Source organism: Homo sapiens, chromosome 2 (genome assembly GCF_000001405.40).
Source record: "Homo sapiens chromosome 2, GRCh38.p14 Primary Assembly".
NCBI lineage: Eukaryota > Metazoa > Chordata > Mammalia > Primates > Hominidae > Homo > Homo sapiens.
The window spans coordinates 26,214,261-26,232,415 of NC_000002.12; the positions used below are offsets into that span (position 1 = coordinate 26,214,261).

The window sequence follows — 18,155 nt, forward strand, 5'->3', positions numbered from 1 at the left end:
TATATCACTTTATATGAGTCCTTACAGCTTGCTATGCCCTTCCCTTATTTTTGGTAAATACTTTAATAGCAGAATTAAGAAATTTAGTACTCAACATACATGGTCCAGAATGGCAATAAGGAGGAGTGATCTATATAAAGGAAGGAAATATGAGAAAAGTGGGAATATTGGGTAAGACTCACATCAATTATTTTCAGAGGTGCAGGATAAAGGCCTTTAGTCTGCTTTCGCACTTTTTCTTCCACTTTTTTGTAAACCTGTTGCCTGACAAATGGAATAGTCATGGCATACGCTGTCAATTCTGTAAAATAAAATGCTTTTAGATATTTACTATAAAGAGCCTAGATTCCCTTGTTAGTTTATGCTCTAAACTCTATAAAAATGAAGTAATTCTAGCTATCTGCAAGAACTGCTCTTTATTCTGATACACACAATATAAATTTCAACCTAAGCACTACCTTAAACATGCTAAGTGATGAATGTTAAAGCTGGGCCTTGGGTACATGAGTGTTTATAACACTGTTATCTAGTCTTTTTGTGTTCATGCTTAACATTTTCTAAAATGAAAAGTTTTCTATGACTCAAGGGTCATCATAAGGAAAAAAAAGGTTTTAAAAATTGGCTTTAACTGGATAGTGTAAAGTTGAGGAGTTGTTACATCTCCTACCTAAGGCTGACTTTATGCTTTGAGTAAATAATGCATTTACCACTTCCTCATTTTGAATCTACAGCAAATAAAATTAAATTCTCAGGAAAGAAGCTTTGCCTTTGTTCTTTAACAATGATACTCACTTTCCACCAATCCCTTGTCTCTCTTTGGAGAGATCTTCTTATCAGCTAGTCCTTTGGCAAAAGTAATTGCAACTTCTTCTAGGTATTCTATTGTCCGTTCCTCTGGAGGTTTTAGTCCTGGTCCTATAAAAATGAATGCAACACTGGAATGCAAATCAGGCTTAGACCAGTCCCAGGTAGTGAAAAACCCAGACTTGCCAAAGCCAAAGGCCCTAGCACAGCGTTCCATTTCAGACTGGAGACTGGTAGGTGGCAAAGTCATAAACCAAGAAGTCAAAGAAGGGAAATCACAATGAATAGAGGAGAAACAATATGCTCTAGGTAGAAAACGCGGTCTTTAACTGTTTCATTTGGTTTCCACTTCTGAGTAGAATGTAGTATGTAACACACACAAAAGGAATGCATTATGTCTACTGCAACCTGCATTCTTGCTGCAAAACTGGAAAGAAAAAAGAAGAAATCATGAAATCATTTGTAAAGACACTGGGGAGCTATGGAAGTAACAAGGACAACATGAACTAAAATTCTAGAGAGCAAGAGCCTATCTTAGCTGAACTGATGATTGCTGATCATTTTCTTTTCAGGGATGTGTAATGCTTTTGGGCATGGACTGAAGACTGGACTTGACTCAAGCAGAAGGAAAGTGAAACCATCAGAGTTTTTGGTGGTCATGTACAACAGATTAGAAGCTAGAAGAAACCAAGTGCAAAGCCAGTTTTCCCCAAGGAACATTTGTGAAAGTCTAAGATGGTACACAAGGAGGAAGGGGCTAGCTCAGAGAGGTTGAGTGAAATCTCTCATAGTATCATGATGTTTAATAGATAAGGTACTTCTATGGAGAAGGGGGCCTGAAACCAATATGCAACTGATTTTCCACGCAAGGCCTCTGCCAGATCTTGAACCTGCTTGGGGCAAGAGGTTACAGAGCTAGGCTCAAAAAATCTGAAGAACAAGTACAGTGGTTCATGCCTATAATCCCAGCACTTTGGAAGACTGACACAGGAGGATTGCTCAAGACCAGCCTGGGCAACATAGTGAGACCCCACCTCTATTTAAAAGGAATCCAAAGAACACAATTTATAGTGCTGTGAAAACAGACACCTACCAGGCTCTCAATCAAAAGTCTGTAAGAGCCACATTGGAGGAGGTGGCTGGGGTCAAAATGGCAATCTTGTGCAGTACTGTGGTACTTAGGAAACAAAATCCCAACTGAGGGAACCCATAGCAGACATACAACCAATCTCTCCCTTAAGACATTTGACCTATTTTTTTTTTTTTTTTTTTTTGAGATGGAGTCTCACTCTGTAACCTAGGCTGGAGTGCAGCAGTGTGATCTTGGCTCACTGCAACCTCTGCCTCCCAGTTTCAAGCGATTCTCCTGCCTCAGCCTCCCGAGTACCTGGGATTACAGGTGCATGCCACTGTGCCCAGCTAAATTTTCTATTTTTAGTAGAGATGGGGTTTCACCATGTTGGCCAAGCTGGTCTTGAATTCCTGACCTCAAATGATCTGCCCACCTCGGCCTCCCAAAGTGCTAGGATTACAGGTGTGAGCCACCGAGCCTGGACCATTTGGCCTATTTTGAACCTGTGTGGGGAAGGAGGAATAATAACTAAGCCCAAAACTTTGGAGTGACAAAAGTTCAGTGTCCAGAAAAGTCCTAACACAGTCATAATCCTGAGGGAGGCCAGGGCAGCTGGAATCTGTGACGTGAAATGCTGGAGAGCAGCTGCTGCACAACAGGAGAGCTCCAGAGCTCTAAAGAGCGGTCCTTGAAACTCTGGCCGAGTATTGTTCTGCATGTGCATGAGGGGAAACTATCTGCAGCTGAGGAAAGAACCACCATAAAAGGCATGAAATGAAGCAAGGAAAGAATGACCCATAGCCAGGAGACAGATCAATAAATAGACACAGATTCAGAAATGAAAAAAATGATAGAAGGAGCAGACGTGATGTTCAAGACTACTGTAAATTCATGCTGTATGTTACAGAAGGTAGAGGAAAACAGGACGATAATGAAGAGAAACTGAAGATATAAAAGTGAATCAACCCCAGCTACTTAGGAGACTGAGGTGAGAGGATCACTTGAGCCCAGTAGCTCAAGGACCAGACTCGGCAAGACCCCGTCTGAAAAAAAAAAAGTGAATCACATGGGATTGGATTAACAGCAGGGATACACAGAAGAGGGAAACATCAGGAAACTTGAACACATGGCAGTAGAAATAACCAGAATGAAAGAAGACCTAAAACAAACAACCCAGAGCTTCATTTTTGGGCAATATCAAATGACCTAACAATGTGAAATTGGAATCTCCAAAAAGGGGAGGGAGACAGAAAAATATTTGAAGAAATAATAGCCAAAGAAGTCTCCAATTTTTACGAAAACTATAAGCCCATATGTCCAAGATGCTCAATGAATCCCAGACATAATAACTTTAAAAAAAATCCCAACAAACCAAGGCACATCATAATCAAATTGCTAAAACCAGTCATAAAAGGAAAATCTGAAAGCAGACAGAGGAAGGGAAAGGCACATCATATATAGAAGTATAAAGAAAAGAATGACAGCTGGGCACAGTGGCTCATGCCTGTAATTCCAGTGCTTTGGGAGGCTGAGGTGGGAGGATCACGTGAGCCCAGGGGTTTGAGACCAGTGTGGGCAACATGGTAAGACCTTGTCTCTACAAAAAGAATTTTTTTTTTAATTAGCTGGGCATGGTGGTGCATGACTGTAGTCCCAGCTACTCGAGAGGCTGACGTGGAAAGATTGCTTGAGCCCAGAAGTTCGGGGCTTCAGTGAGTTATGATCATACCACTGCACTTTAACCTGGGCAACAGAGCAAGACCCTGTCTCAAAAAGAAACAAACAAACAAAAAAGTGCCAAGATAAAAGTGACAACAGACTTTTCATCAGAAATTATGCAAGCCAAACACAATGGAGACATTTATAAAGTACCAAAAGAAAAACATTAGCCGGCCAGGTGTGGTGGCTCATGTAATCCCAGCACTTTGGGAGTCCGCGGTGGGCAGATCACTTGAGGTCAGGAGTTCAAGACCAGCCTGGCCAACATGGAGAAACTCTATTAAAAGTACAAAAATTAACCAGGTGTGGTAGTGGGTGACTGTAATTCCAGCTATCCAGGAGGCTGAGATAGGAGAATCATTTGAACCCGGGAGGTGGAAGTTTCAGTGAGCTGAGATTGTGCCACTGCACTCCAGCCTGGGCAAAAGGGTGAGACTCTGTCTCAAAAAAAAAAAGAGAGAGAAAAGAAACATTAGCAATCTAGGAAAAATATGTTTAAAAATGAAGTGGGAAATAGACTTTGTCAGACAAATCAAAAGGTAAGAACAGACCTACACTACAGAAAACACTAAAGGAAGTTCTTCAGGTTGCAAGAAAACCAAATCAGATGGGAATCTGGATCTACCTATACAAAGGATAAAAAGCACTAAAAATGGTAACTATGTGGGCAACTATAAAAAAGATCTTTTCTAATTTTTTATTCTCCTTAAGAGATAATTATCTAAAACAAATATACCAATATATACAAGAATTTATAATGTATGTAGCAGTAAAATGTATAACAACAATAGCAAAAATGGGGAGTATACAAAATAAATGCATACTCTTTTAAGGTTCTGACACCACAGGAAAATATTATCAATTGAAAACCGGCCAGGTGTGGTGGCTCACACCTGTAATCCAGCACTTTGGGAGGCCAAGGCAGGCAGATCACTTGAAGACAGGAGTTTGAGACCAGCCTGGCCAAGATAGTGAAACCCCATCTCTACTAATATACAAAAATTAGCTGGGTGTGGTGGTGTGCACCTGTAATCCCAGCTACTCAGGAGGCTGAGGCAAGAGAATTGATTGAACCTGGGAGGCAGAGATTGCAGTGAGTCAAGATCACACCATTGCACTCCAGCCTGGGCAACAGAGCAAGACTCCGTCTCAAAAAAAAAAAAAAAAAGAAAGAAAGAAAATAGACTGTGATGGGTTAAAAATGTATACTGTAAAACCCCAGAGCAACCATTAAAAGGGAAAAGCAAAGTAAAAGGCCAGTAATGAAGACAAAAAATATATATATTTTTTTGAGATGGAGTCTCGCTCTGTTGCCCAGGCTGGAGTGCAGTGGTGTGATCTCGGCTCACTGCAACCTCCACCTCCCAGGTTCTAGTGATTCTTCTGCCTCAGCCTCCCAAGTAGCTGGGATTACAGATGTGCCACCAGGCCAGGCTAATTTTTTGTATTTTTAGTAGAGATGGGGTTTCACCATGTTAGCCAGGACGGTCTCCATCTCCTGACCTCGTGATTTGTCCACCTCGGCCTCCCGAAGTGCTGGGATTACAGGCGTGAGCCACTGTGCCCGGCCAATAAAAAATTATTAATCCAAAAGAAAGCAGGAAGAAGAAAAAAGGAGCAAAGAACTGACAGGTCACCCTGGAAGGGTTAGAGGACGCACCCTTCACCACCACTGTGAGAAATCAATTTGTGAGGTGAGGCCCAGCATCTTTGCTCTGTGGTTGCTTCTCTTTGTAGGTCAGAAATTACAGTGGGAACTGCTACCATCAACTGGGATCCCTAAATGCAATGGGGATAAAGGAATCCCGGGGTGGCAGGGCCCAAGTAGCAGCACCATGCCAAATCAAGGTGGGCATAGTTACCATAATAAATAGTGGAGCCAAAGCAGTAATCAGAATAGTCTGACTTGCTGAGACCTATAGCATTGGGTGGTTGATCATGGTGTCCCTAAAAAAGAAATAGATGGGCAGTCTACTAACTCTTACTTGATCTGTATAAGCAGAAGAATTCTAGGTCTGGTAAACAGAAGTATAACTTGAATCACCTGAAGAGAGTCATGGCCCCTTAAGCAATTCCCAGAAATGAGCTAGTTTACAGACCCAGAATCTCCTTAATGAAAGGGAAGCTGTGTCCTCTTGAGGAGACTTTCCTGTTTATCTTTCTCCTACCCTTCCCCAAAGGGACCTATGGCTATTTGCCTTGCAGAAGGGGAAACAATGATTTTTTGGGGATTACTAGACACTGGCTTCTGAACTAACACTAATTCTAGGGGACCCAAACTTCGCTGTGGTCCAGCAGTCAGAGTAGGGGCTTATGAAGTCAAGTGATCAATGGAGTTTTAGCTCAGGTCTGTCTCAGTGGGCCTAGCAGGTCCCTGAGCCCATCCTGCGGTTATTTTCCCAGTTTCAGAATGTACAATTGGAGCAGACATACTCAGCAATGAGTAATATCACTATATGCTCTGACTTGTAGAGTAAGGGCTACTATGGTGGGAAAGGCCAAGTAAAAGCCACTAAAACTGCCTCTACCTAGAAAAGAGTAAACCAAAGCAACACCACAATCCTGGAGGGACTGCAGAGATTAGTGTCACCATCAAGGACTGAAAGCGGTAGGGGTGGTGATTCCCACTTCATTCTCATTCAACTTGCCTACTCTGGACAGTGCAGAAAACAGATGGATCCTATAGAATGACAGTGGATTACTGTACATCTAATCAGGTGGCAACTGCAATTCTAACTGGTGTTCCAGATGTCGTTTTATTGCTTGAACAAATTAACATACATCCTTGGACCTGGTATGCAGTGACTGATCTGACAAAAGCTTTTTTTTCTTGGTATCTGTTAGTAAAGACCACCAGAAGCAGTTTGCTTTCAGCAATATACCTTCAATGTCTTACCTTAGGGGTGGGTGTATTGTTTTCAACCATATATCATAATTTAGTCCACAGAGAGCCTGATTACCTTGTCCTTCCACAAGATATCATGCTGGTTCATTACACTGTGATATTATGCTGAATGGATCTGGTGAGCAAGAAGTATTAACTACTCTAGACATACTGGGGGTAAGACATGTGTCTGTCAGAAGGTGGGAAATAAATCCCTCCAAAATTCAGGGCCTCCCATGTTAGTGAAATTTCTGGGGATCCAGTGGTCTGGGGCATACAAAGACATCCCTTCTATGGCAAAGGGTAAGTGTTGCACGTGGCCCCTCCTACCACAAAAAAACACGGAGAACACCTGGTGGGCTGCTTCAGATTTTGGAGACAACATATTACTCATTTGGGTTGCTATTCCAGCCCATTTACTGAGTAACTAAAAAAGCTGCTAGTTTAAGTGGGACCCAGAACAAGAGAAGCTGTTCTGCCATTTGGGCCACGTGATTCAAACCTGATGGCGCCTGAAGTGTCGGCAGCAGACAGAGGTGCTGTCTGGAGTCTTTAATAGATCTCTATTAGGTGAATCACAACACAGACCCTTAGGATTTTAGAAAAAGCCCTACCATCCTCTGTGAATAACTACTCTCCTTTTGGGAAACAGTGTTTGGCTTGTTAGTGGGACTTCACAGAGACTCAAAGCTTAACCATGGGGCATCAAGTTACTGGTGACCTGAGCTGCTGATCATGAAACAGATGTTGTCTAACCTACTAAGCCATAAAGTGGGGTGTACACGGTAGCACTCCATTATCAAATGGAAGTGGTATATGTAAGACTGGGCTTAAACAGACCCTAAAGGCACAAGCTGCATGAGGAAGTAGCCAAAATACCCCACGGCCCTGTTCTTCTTTGTCTCTTCCAGCCTGCACCTATGGCCTCATGGGGAGTTCTCTATGGCCAGTTGATTGGTAAAGAAAAACTCAGGCCTGGTTTGTAGATATTTCTGTGTGATACGCAGGTACCACCTGGAAGTGCACAGCTGTAACACTACAGTCCCTTCTGGGACATCCCTTAAGGACAGTGGTGAAGGGATAGCCTCCCAGTGGGCAGTACTTCTGACAGTGCACCCGGTTGTTCATTTTGTCTAGAAAGAAAAATGGCCTGAGCTAAGGGTCTACTCTGATTCATAGGCCGTGGCAAACGGTTTGCCTGGGTGGTAAGGAACTTACAGGGAACACAGATGAAAAACTGTTGGCAAGGTGTTATGGGCTGAATTGTGTCCCCCCTACCTCATTCATATGTTGAAGTCCTATCCTCCAGTATCTCAGAATGTGACTGTAATTGGGGATAGGGCCTTTAAAGAAGCGATTAAGTTAAAATGAGGCCATTAGGGTGTACCCTAATCTAATCTGACTGGTATCCTTATGAGAAGAAAAAATTTGGAAACACAAAAGAGATGCCAGGGATGTGCAGACACAGTAAGAAAGCAGTGCCATCTGCAAGCCAAAGAGAGATGCCTCAGAAGAAACCAAACCTGCTAACACCTGATCTTAGACTTCCAGTTTCCAGAAATGCGAGAAAACATGTTAAGTTTCTGTTGTTTAAGCCACTCAGTCTGGTATTCGTTATGGCAGCCCTAGCAAACTAATATACAAGGACACCTGGGGAATAGGTCAGTGGATAGACCTCTCTGAATAGGCAAATAATGTGAAAACACTTGTGTCCCATTAAATGCTCATCAAAGAGTGACCTCAGCCGAGGATTTCAATGATCAAAGTGGATGGGATGACTCGTTCTATGGATAGCAGTCAGCATCTTTCCGCAGTCACTCTTATCACTGCTTCATGAACAGTGGCCATGATGGTGGGTGTGGAGGTTATGCATGGGCTTAGGCAATATGGACTTTCACTTACCAATTTGTGGTAAGTGGACTTATTTGTGGACTTATAGAGTACCTTATGGTATCCCACACCATTATGGTATCCCACAAAGCACTGCTTCTTATCAAGGAATTCACTTCTCAGTAAGTGAAGTGCAGCAATGGGCCATGCTCACGAAACACTGATCTTACTACATCACCGGGAAGCAGTTGCCTTGACAGAATGGTGGGATGGACTACTGAAGACTCCATCACAGTGCCAGCTAAGTGGCAGTATTTTGCAGAGTCAATGTCCTCCAGGATGCTGCTATGTTTTAAGTCAGCTTCCAGTATAGGGTGCTACTTTTCCCACAGCCAGGATTCGTGAGTCCAGAAATCAAGGAGAGCAAACAGAAATTACCCAGTTCACTATTACCCCTAGTGATCTAATCTACCAGCAAAATTTCTGCTTCTTGTCCCTGCAACTTTGGGCTCTGCCTGTCTAGAGGGCTCAGTTCCAAAGGGAGGAATGCTTCCACCAGGAGACACAACAATGATTCTACTGAACTGTTAGTTAAAACTGCCATCTGGCCACTTTGGGCTCCTCATGCCTTGGAATCAACAGGCAGCAGAGGGCGGGTACTGTACTGGCTGGGGTGATTAATCCTGATTACCAAGGGGATATTAGGTTGCTACTATACAACAGAGGTAAGGAAGAGTATGTCTCAAATGTGGCAGATCTCTTAGGGTGTCCCTTAGTACTAACATGACCTCTAATTAGTCAGTAGAAGATCACAACCCAGTTCACATGGGACTGCTAGTGGCCTAGAAGACATTTTAGGAATGAAGGTCACCCCACCAGGCAAAGAACTAGGACAAACTGAGGTACTTCCTGAGGGCAAAGGGAATATGAAAAGGGGAGTAGAAATATCACCCTTTCCACACCAAACCTGGTACACAGCCAGTGCACTGCGGTGTCATCTGAGGGAGCTGCAGTCAAGGACTTGGGTCTCTGGGGCTGGCTAAGCTCTTACACAAATGTGCATTCCTAGCCTAGATGCCTTCTATTCCTAGGTCTTTTTATATGGGGACTTTGGCTGAGGCCTTCTTCAGGTGCCTCTGCTGAGACCTTGTCAAAGGAGGAAGGGGAAATCTTTTATTTATTTATTTATTTTTTTGAGATGGAGTTTCACTCTGTCGCCCAGGCTGGAGTGCAATGGTACAATCTCGGCTCACTGCAACCTCTGCCTCCCGGGTTCAAGTGATTCTCCTGCCTCAGCCTCCTGAGTAGCTGGGAATGCAGGCATGTACCACCACGCCTGGCTAATTTTCGTATTTTTAGTGGAGATGAGGTTTTGCCATATTGGCCAGGCTGGTCTCGAACTCCTGACCTCAGGTGATCTGCCCGCCTTGGCCTCCCAAAGTGCTGGTATTACAGGCATGAGCCACTGCACCTGGCCGGAATGGGAAATCTTAAAGACACTTCTCCCAGTCTACTCCACTCTCCTCACCCAGGGTCCATAAAGCCGCAGGAACCTTTTGTTCAGGGCTTTCACAACAGTGAGATGTCCCCCACTTGTATGCTAATCTACCAGATCCTCAACCAGTGTACCATTCCATGGGGAAAACGGTACTGGGGGGAAAAAGGAGCTGGCACTTTCTTTGGTTTTTAGCCTTTTGTGTAAACTATCAAAGTAAGTGAATAAAGGCTCCACTGTTACTTTCCTTTTGGGTTGTTTAATTATTTACTCTGATATTTGATAGCTCAGTTCTCTTTCCACATCAGCTGAATACTGATCTGGAAATATTATAAATATTCATTTCTGAATACAGTAATGAATACTGTACTATTTATGAGGATTTCTTATTTTGTTATGAATATATATAATTAACCAAATATTTGTGTTTCTTCTCTATCTCCTTATCATCTAATATAAGATGTATCCATAATGGTTAACTTTATATCATAGCATTTATGTTACAGAATATGAGAGAAGAGTGAATTTCACCCAAGGACTCTGCATCCTCTTCTAGGGAAAGGATTAGTGTATTTTTGGTTGTATAAAGGAGAATTGCATTATGTCAGGATAAAGTATGACTCCTGTCATTGCCTTTATTTGAAGACTATGTATGGCTTTAGGAGATGTGTATGGGTGTCAAACAGACAAGGGGTGGAGTATGATAGTCTTCAGATATGTTAACTTGGCTAGGCTACAGCCCAGTTATTCAATAAACATTAACCTAGATGTTACTATGAAGGTATTTTATAAGTGATTAAAGTCCTATCAGCTGATAAACTATCAATATCAGGAATGAATGAGGAGACATCAGTATAGAGTATAAAAACATTAAAATGACAAGTATTATGAACAGCTTTATTGCAATAAATTTGGCAAATTGTTAATAGATGAACAAATTATTTGAAAGACACAAACTACTATCGTAGCTTACTCTAGAATGGAGAACCTGAATAGCCCTATATCTATTAATTGAATTCATAAGTAAAAATTTTCCCAACAAAGAAAACTAGGAGCCCAGGAATTACTGGTTAATTCTATCAAGTATTTAAGAAATAATACCAACTCTACATAAAATCTTCCAGAAAATATAAGAGGAGGCCAGGCACAGTGGCTCACACCTGTAATCCCAGCACTTTGGGAGGCTGAGGCAGGTAGGTGGATCATGAGGTCAGAAGATTGAGACCATCCTGGCCAACATGATGAAACACTGTTTCTACTAAAAATACAAAAATTAGCCCAAGATCTCGCCACTGCACCACTCCAGCCTGGCGACAGGGTGAGACTCCATCTCAAAAAAAAAAAAAAAAGAGGAGAGAACACTTCTCAATTCATTTTATGAAGCCAGCATTATCCTGATGCCAACACCACGCAAAAATATCATAAGAAAATTATCCTTGAGACTTTATCCCTCATGATGACATAAAAATCCTTTATAATATATGACAACAAAATGGAGTTTATTCCAAGAAGCAAGGCTAGTTCAATATTCAAAAATCAATGTGACTGACATTATTAATAGACTAAAAAAGAAGAAAACCCCACAATTATCTCTGTAGATGGAGAAAAGGCATGACAAAATTCAATACTCATTCTCAGCAAACCTGATAAAGAGCACATATGAAAAACCTACAACTAACATCATACTTAATACTGAATGCTTTCCTCCTAAGACTGGGAACAAGTTGACAATACTTGTTCTCATGACTTCTATCCAGTATTGTACAAAGGTCTTAGACATTGTGGTAAGTCAAGAAAAAGAAACAAATGACATCTATATTGGAAAGAAAGAAGTCAAACTGTCTTTACTTACAGACAACATAATTATCTATGTAGAAAATCCTCAGGAATCTATTAATAAAAAAGGCTACTAGAACTAGTAAATGAATTTAGCTAAACCACAAGATACAAGGTCCATGTCCAAAAATCTTTGTATTTCTATATTCTAGTGAGAAATTAAAGTTAAAAAAGTAAAACAGCCTACAAGTATGAAATACCTAGGCATAAATTTAACAAAATGTGTTCAAGATCTATTCACTGAAAAGTACCAAACACTGCTGAGAGAAATTTAAAGACCTAAATAAACAGAGAACTTTACCATGTTCATGGATGAAATGACTCAATATTTTTAAGCTGTCAATTCTCCCCAAATTTATATACTGACTCAATGCAATTCCAATAAAAATCCTAGCAGGTATTTTTGTAGATATGGACAAAATGATTATAAAATTTGTACACAAATGCAAAGGAACTAGTATGAGCAAAATAATTTTGAAAGAAGGGACCTGAGTTGGAGGACTCATACTGCTTAATTTCAGGATTCCCTATAAAAATACAATAATCAAGACAGTGTGGTATTGGTTTAACAAAAAGACATATAGATAACTAGGAATAGGAAATCCAATTGGCCCAAACAGATAAGGTCAGTTGATTTTTGATCAAGGGATCAAAGTAGTTCACTGAGGAAATAGTAGTCTTCTCAACAAATGGTGCCAGGACATTTGGATATTCATATGCAAAAAGGGAAGAAAAGGCCCTCAATCCTTACCTCACACCATATACAAACTTGAAATGAATCACAGACCAAAATGTAAGAGCTAAAACTAGAAAATTTCTAGAAGAAAGTATACAGGAACATCTTAGTGATATTGAGTTAGAAAAATACTTTTTAGATCCCACACTAATAGCATGATCCATAAATACTCCAAATGGATCACAGACCAAAATGTAAGAGCTAAAACTAGAAAATTTCTAGAAGAAAGTATACAGGAAAACTTAGTGATCTTGAGTTAGAGAAATATTTTTTAGATACCACACTAATAGCATGATCCATAAAAGAGAAACTTGATAAACCAGACTTCATTAAAATTAAGAATTTCTGCTCTTATATAGTGAAAAGATAAGCCAGAGACTGTGAGGAAATATTTGCAAATCATATATTTGATAAAGGACTCATATCCTAATATATAAAGAACTCTGAAAACTCGATAATAGGAAAAACACTCAGTCCAAGAAAATGGGCAAAAAATTTGAACAGATGCTTCTTTATCAAATAAGATATACAGATATTCAATATCTTTGGTAATTAGGGTAATATAAAAACCACAATGAAATATGACTAATTCCAGCTGGGTGTGGTGGCACACGCCTGTAATCTCAGCACTTTGGGAGGCCAAGGCAGGGGGATAACTTGAGGTCAGGAGTTTGAGACCAGCCCTGACAACATGGTAAAACCCGATCTCTACTAAAAATACAAAAATTAGTTGGACATGGTGGTGGGCGCCTGTAGTCCCAGCTACTTGGGACGCTGAGGCAGGAGAATCGCTTGAACCTGGCAGGCAGAGGTTGCAGTGAGCCAAAATTGTTCCACTGCACTCCAGCCTGGGCAACAGAGCGAGACTTTGTCTCAAAAAAAAAAAAAGAAAAAAGAACTGTTACTACATTCCTGTTAGAATGTCTAAAATTAAAAAGATTGACCATGCAAAGTGGTTGGTACCTAGAACTCTCATACACTGCTGGTGGGAATGCAAAAGAGTATAACCACTTTGGGAAAACAGTCTGACAGAAAAGCAAACACATACCTAGCAAATACTAGTGGCATATGCCTCGTAATCCCGGCTTCTTGGGAGGCTGAGGCAGGAAGACTGCTTGAGCCCAGGAGTCTGAGGCCAGCCTGGGTGACAGAGCAAGACTCAAAGTCTCATCTCTAAATTTTTTTTTTTTCTTCCCAGAGATAAGGTCTCCCTCTCTCACCCAGGCTGGAGTGCAGTGGCCTGATCATAGCTCCATGTGACTTCAAACTCCTGGGTTCAAGCAATCCTCCTGCCTCAGCCTCCCTAGTAGCCAGGACTACAGGCATGTGCCACCACACCCAACTAGTTAAAACTTTTTATTTTGTTGAGACAGAGTCTTGCTATGTTGCTCAGGCCAAACTTTTTTTTTCAAAAGCTAATATATATCTGTTATATGGACTAGCCAATCCACTCTTCAGTACTTACCCAACAGAAATGAAACATTTGTCCACATAAAGACTTTTTTTTTTTTTGAGACAGAGTCTCGCTCTGTCACCCAGGCTGGAGTGCAGTGGCACAATCTTGGCTCACGGCAACCTCCACCTCCTGGGTTCAAGTGATTCTCCTACCTTAGCCTCCCAAGTAGCTGGGACCACAGGTGCACACCACTACACCCAGCTAATTTTTGTATTTTTAGTAGAGATGGGGTTTCGCCATGTTGGTCAGGCTGGTGTTGAATTCCTGACCTCAGGTGATCAGCCTGCCTCAGCCTCCCAAAGTGCTGGGATTAGAGGCTTGAGCCACCACGCCCAGTCACGCCCACATAAAGACTTAAAGATGAATGTTCATAGCAGCTTTATTCAGAATAGCCCTAAATTAGAAACAACTCAAATGCTCATCATTTGGTGAACGGATAAACAAACTATGGTACATTTCTACAATGGAGTAACACTCAGCAATAAGGACAAACTGCTGATATATGCAACAGTATGGATGCATCTCAAAAGCATTATGCTAAGTGAACGAAGATTAAAACAAACTACATACCAGAAATGTTTAAAAATTTTTGTTTAAAAGATGGCATCTCACTCTGTTGCTCAGGCTGGAGTGCAGTGGTGTGATCATAGCTCACTACAGCCTTGAACTTCTGGGCTCAAACAATATTCCTGTCTCAGCCTCCTGACTAGCTGGGACTACAGGTATACACTATGATACCCAGCTAATTGAAAAAAAAAAATTCTTTTTTAAGAGATAGGATCTTGCTCTGTTGTCCAGGCTGGTCTTGAATTCCAGGCCTCAAGCAATTCTCCCACCTCAGCCTCCCAAAATGCTATGATTACAGGTGTGAGCCACCATGCACGGCTATTTTTGGATTGTGGCAGTGTTTACACAGCTATATACATTTTCAAAACTCAAATTATACATTAAAAGTTGGTCAATTTCACCAGACACAGTGGCTCACACCTGTAAATCTCGGCACTTTGGGTGGCTGAGGGAGGAGGATTACTTGAGCCCGGAGTTTGAGACTAGCCTGGAAAACAGAGTGAGATCTCGTTTCTACAAAAAATAAAAAATTAGCTGGTGTAGCAGCGTATGCCTGTGGTCTCAGCTACTCGGGGGGCACAAGTGGGAAGATCATTTGAGCCCAAAAAGTTGAGGTTGCAACAAGCTATATTCACACCACCATATTCCAGTCTGAGCAACAGAGTGAGACCCCAACATGTGTGCGCGCGCACACACACACACACACACACACACAAAATTAATACATTTACTATTATGTAAGTAATATCTCAATAATGCTGATTTTCAATAAATATAAGAGGGTAATGAACACACAAGTCAGAATAGTGGCTTCTTTGGATAAAGGGAGGCAAAGAAACTGAATGGGAGGAAGTAGCCCATCAGTAGATATCAATTATTGTTAATATTCTCAGGTTGGTTGTTTCATTTATTATATTACTAAAACAGACACAAGAAACTGAAGGAAGGTTATGCATGGATAATGATACAGGTAATTTAAGAACCAAAAATAATGACTTGACTGAATTCTGTACTCCTAATGTTCTAATTATAAAGCAAAATAAAAATCAGGGTGATGTTGAAAATGATTTAGTATTAGCTATTTTATAAAACTTCCTTCCTTAGAATAATGACTCATTTCTTAAGAGTTTGAGCTTCTCTCTGTGCTTCCTGTGATATTCAAGAGGTTAACTGTTTTTTCTTTTGAGATGGGAGTCTGGCTCTGTTGCCCAGGCTGGAGCACAATGGCATGATCTTGGCTCACTGCAACCTCAGCCCCGCCAGGTTCAAGCGATCCTCCTGCCTCAGCCTCCCAAGTAGCTGGAACTACAGGTTTGCACCACCACACCCGGCTAATCATTTTTAGTGGAGACAGGGTTTCGCCATGTTGGCAAGGCTGGTCTCAAACTCCTGACCTCAAGTGATCTTCCCGCCTCAGCCTCCCAAAGTGCTGGGATTACAGGTGTGAGCCACCGTGCCTGGCCTAAGAGGTTAACTCTTTAAGAAAATAAGTAACTTTATAAGGTCTGACTCTGAGATGTGCTAACACTTACCCAGGGGTTCCACCAGTTGGTCAACCAGTCCCATTTTCTTTGCCCTGTCTGCACGAATGCTTCTACCAGTCAGCATCATGTCCAAAGCAGCAGGCACACCCACCTAACAGGCAAGCAAGGATGAGAATATAGGGGGAAAAAAATCAGGGTGATAATTATATAGTTTACAAATCATCAAATGAACAAATATTAAAATGAGAAAAGTCAAGCCATATGTTTATGCTATTTGTCAACAGCATAGATAAGTTATATTTAATATACTGATATACACTTGGGTAACTTTGGGGATTAGATACCTCTAGCTGAAGCAAAAATGTCTTTATCTCTTAATTCAATATATAGGATTCTTATACTAATAAGGTAAAGAATTTCATGTTTCCTAAAATTGTACATTTCTGTTATTCTGAGGGGTTTTTTTCTATCATATATATAATATGTAAAATTCTGGCCAGGCACGGTGGCTCACACCTGTAATTCCAGCACTTTGGGAGGCCAAGGCAGGCGGGTCACCTGAGGTTAGGAGTTTGAGACCAGCCTGGCCCGACATGGTGAAACCCTGTCTTTACTAAAAATACAAAAAATTAGCTGGGCATGGTGGGGCACACCTGTCATTCCAGCTACTTGGGAGGCTGAGGCACAAGAATTGCTTGAATCCGGAGGCAGAGGTTGCAGTGAGCCGAGATCATGCCACTGTACTCCAGCCTGAACAACAAAAGTGACTCTGTCCCAAAAATAAAATAAAATAAAATTCTCATATTGAAACTAGAGAAGACTGTGAGAAACCTGATAGTTTTGACAAAGTCTTTAAAAAGAATTTTAAGCTTAACAAAAATAGAACTCAGCTAGGGCTGCTTATATGGCATACTAGAAGAAAGGCTTCTAGCAACATTCAAATACCAGCTATAGTTTAAGAAAAAAAAAAGAAGAAAGAAAGAAACTCAGCAAATATTTTTGATACACATATATGCATATTCATTCTTTCAATAAATCCTTATGACATTCCTATGAAGGAAAGCACATTATTATTATTAGAAAATTAACACCATAAACCTTGTTTTCTTTTGTGCTCAATTGAGATCAACTTCCCTGCAAAGAGTATTTCTGTTGAGCCTTGTTTTCACTGAGGAATCTACAGTGCCAGAAGCTATAAGGTTCAGTGGGCCCTTGAGTTGACATTAAGATTGCTCTGCAGCATCCAGGTCTGACTGTCCTTCCCTTCTCCTTGGAATTCAAAGCCTGCTGAGCCTCTTTTGGTTCCATACAACACAGCAGTGAGAACATCCAAATCAGACAATGAGGGAAAAGGTCTGCCTCTTATATTTGTAATGAAATATTAATATGACTCATGGTTTTGAAAAACTGTTAAGATGGTATTATGTGGAAAAGGAACCAATTAAACCATAAGCTCCAGAAATGCAAGACATGCATCTTAGTTATCTTTATCCTTCCTCAGAGACTAACAAAGGACCTTGATCAATAATTCTGTGGAATTAGGCCAGGCATGGTGGTTCATGCCTGTAGTCCTAGCACTTTGGGAGGCTGAGGCGGGAGGATTACCTGAGGTCGGGAGTTCAAGACCAGCCTGGCCAACATGGCGAAACTCCATCTCTACTAAAAAATATAAAAAATTAGCTGGGTGCAGTGGTGCACGCCTGTAATTCCAGCTACTGGGGAGGCTGAGGCAGGAGAATCGCTTGAACCTGGGAGGAGAAGGTTGCAGTGAGCTGAGATCACACCACTGCACTCTAGCCTGGGCTACAGAGCAAGATTTTGTCTCAAAAAAAAAAAAAAAAAAAAATCTGTGGAATTGAAAAAATAAGTACCAGGAATAAAGTCTGTCACTGATCCTGTACACTCATATTTTATTTGGTTTTTTAATTCTACAATGAATGCCCATATTATGCATTTTATACAAGAAAACAGATCTAAAGAGGGCATATAGCTTCACAAAGGGGATGTTAGACTCACCATTTTGGGCAGCCTTTGTGTGCCTCCTGCTCCTGGTAAGGCCCCCAGCAAAACTTCAGGGGTACCTAATACTGTTTTTCTGTCTTTTGTTGCTATTCTGTATTGGCATGAAATGGCAACCTTTGAACAAATGAAAGAAAATTAGAATGTTAGAAAATGTAACTTAGTAGCAACTTGAGATGGATAAGGGTCTAAAGATTATTTATAAAGCAGGAATGTGCTCACAGAATAAACTGAAATTCCTTAGGCTGGCATT

At 41.1% G+C, this 18,155-nt stretch overlaps 1 protein-coding gene across 1 annotated transcript in view; it reads right to left on the bottom strand.

The window, feature by feature from the left end:
* HADHA (hydroxyacyl-CoA dehydrogenase trifunctional multienzyme complex subunit alpha) overlaps positions 1-18,155 on the bottom strand; it is a 53,998-nt gene that overhangs the window by 23,626 nt on the left and 12,217 nt on the right. Inside the window, exons 6-9 of the mRNA NM_000182.5 lie at positions 17,900-18,019; positions 15,932-16,034; positions 793-915; positions 183-301 (exon numbers count right to left, since the gene is read on the bottom strand). Coding sequence (NP_000173.2) covers positions 183-301; positions 793-915; positions 15,932-16,034; positions 17,900-18,019 — 465 coding nt within the window. The remainder of the gene's footprint in view (positions 1-182; positions 302-792; positions 916-15,931; positions 16,035-17,899; positions 18,020-18,155) is intronic.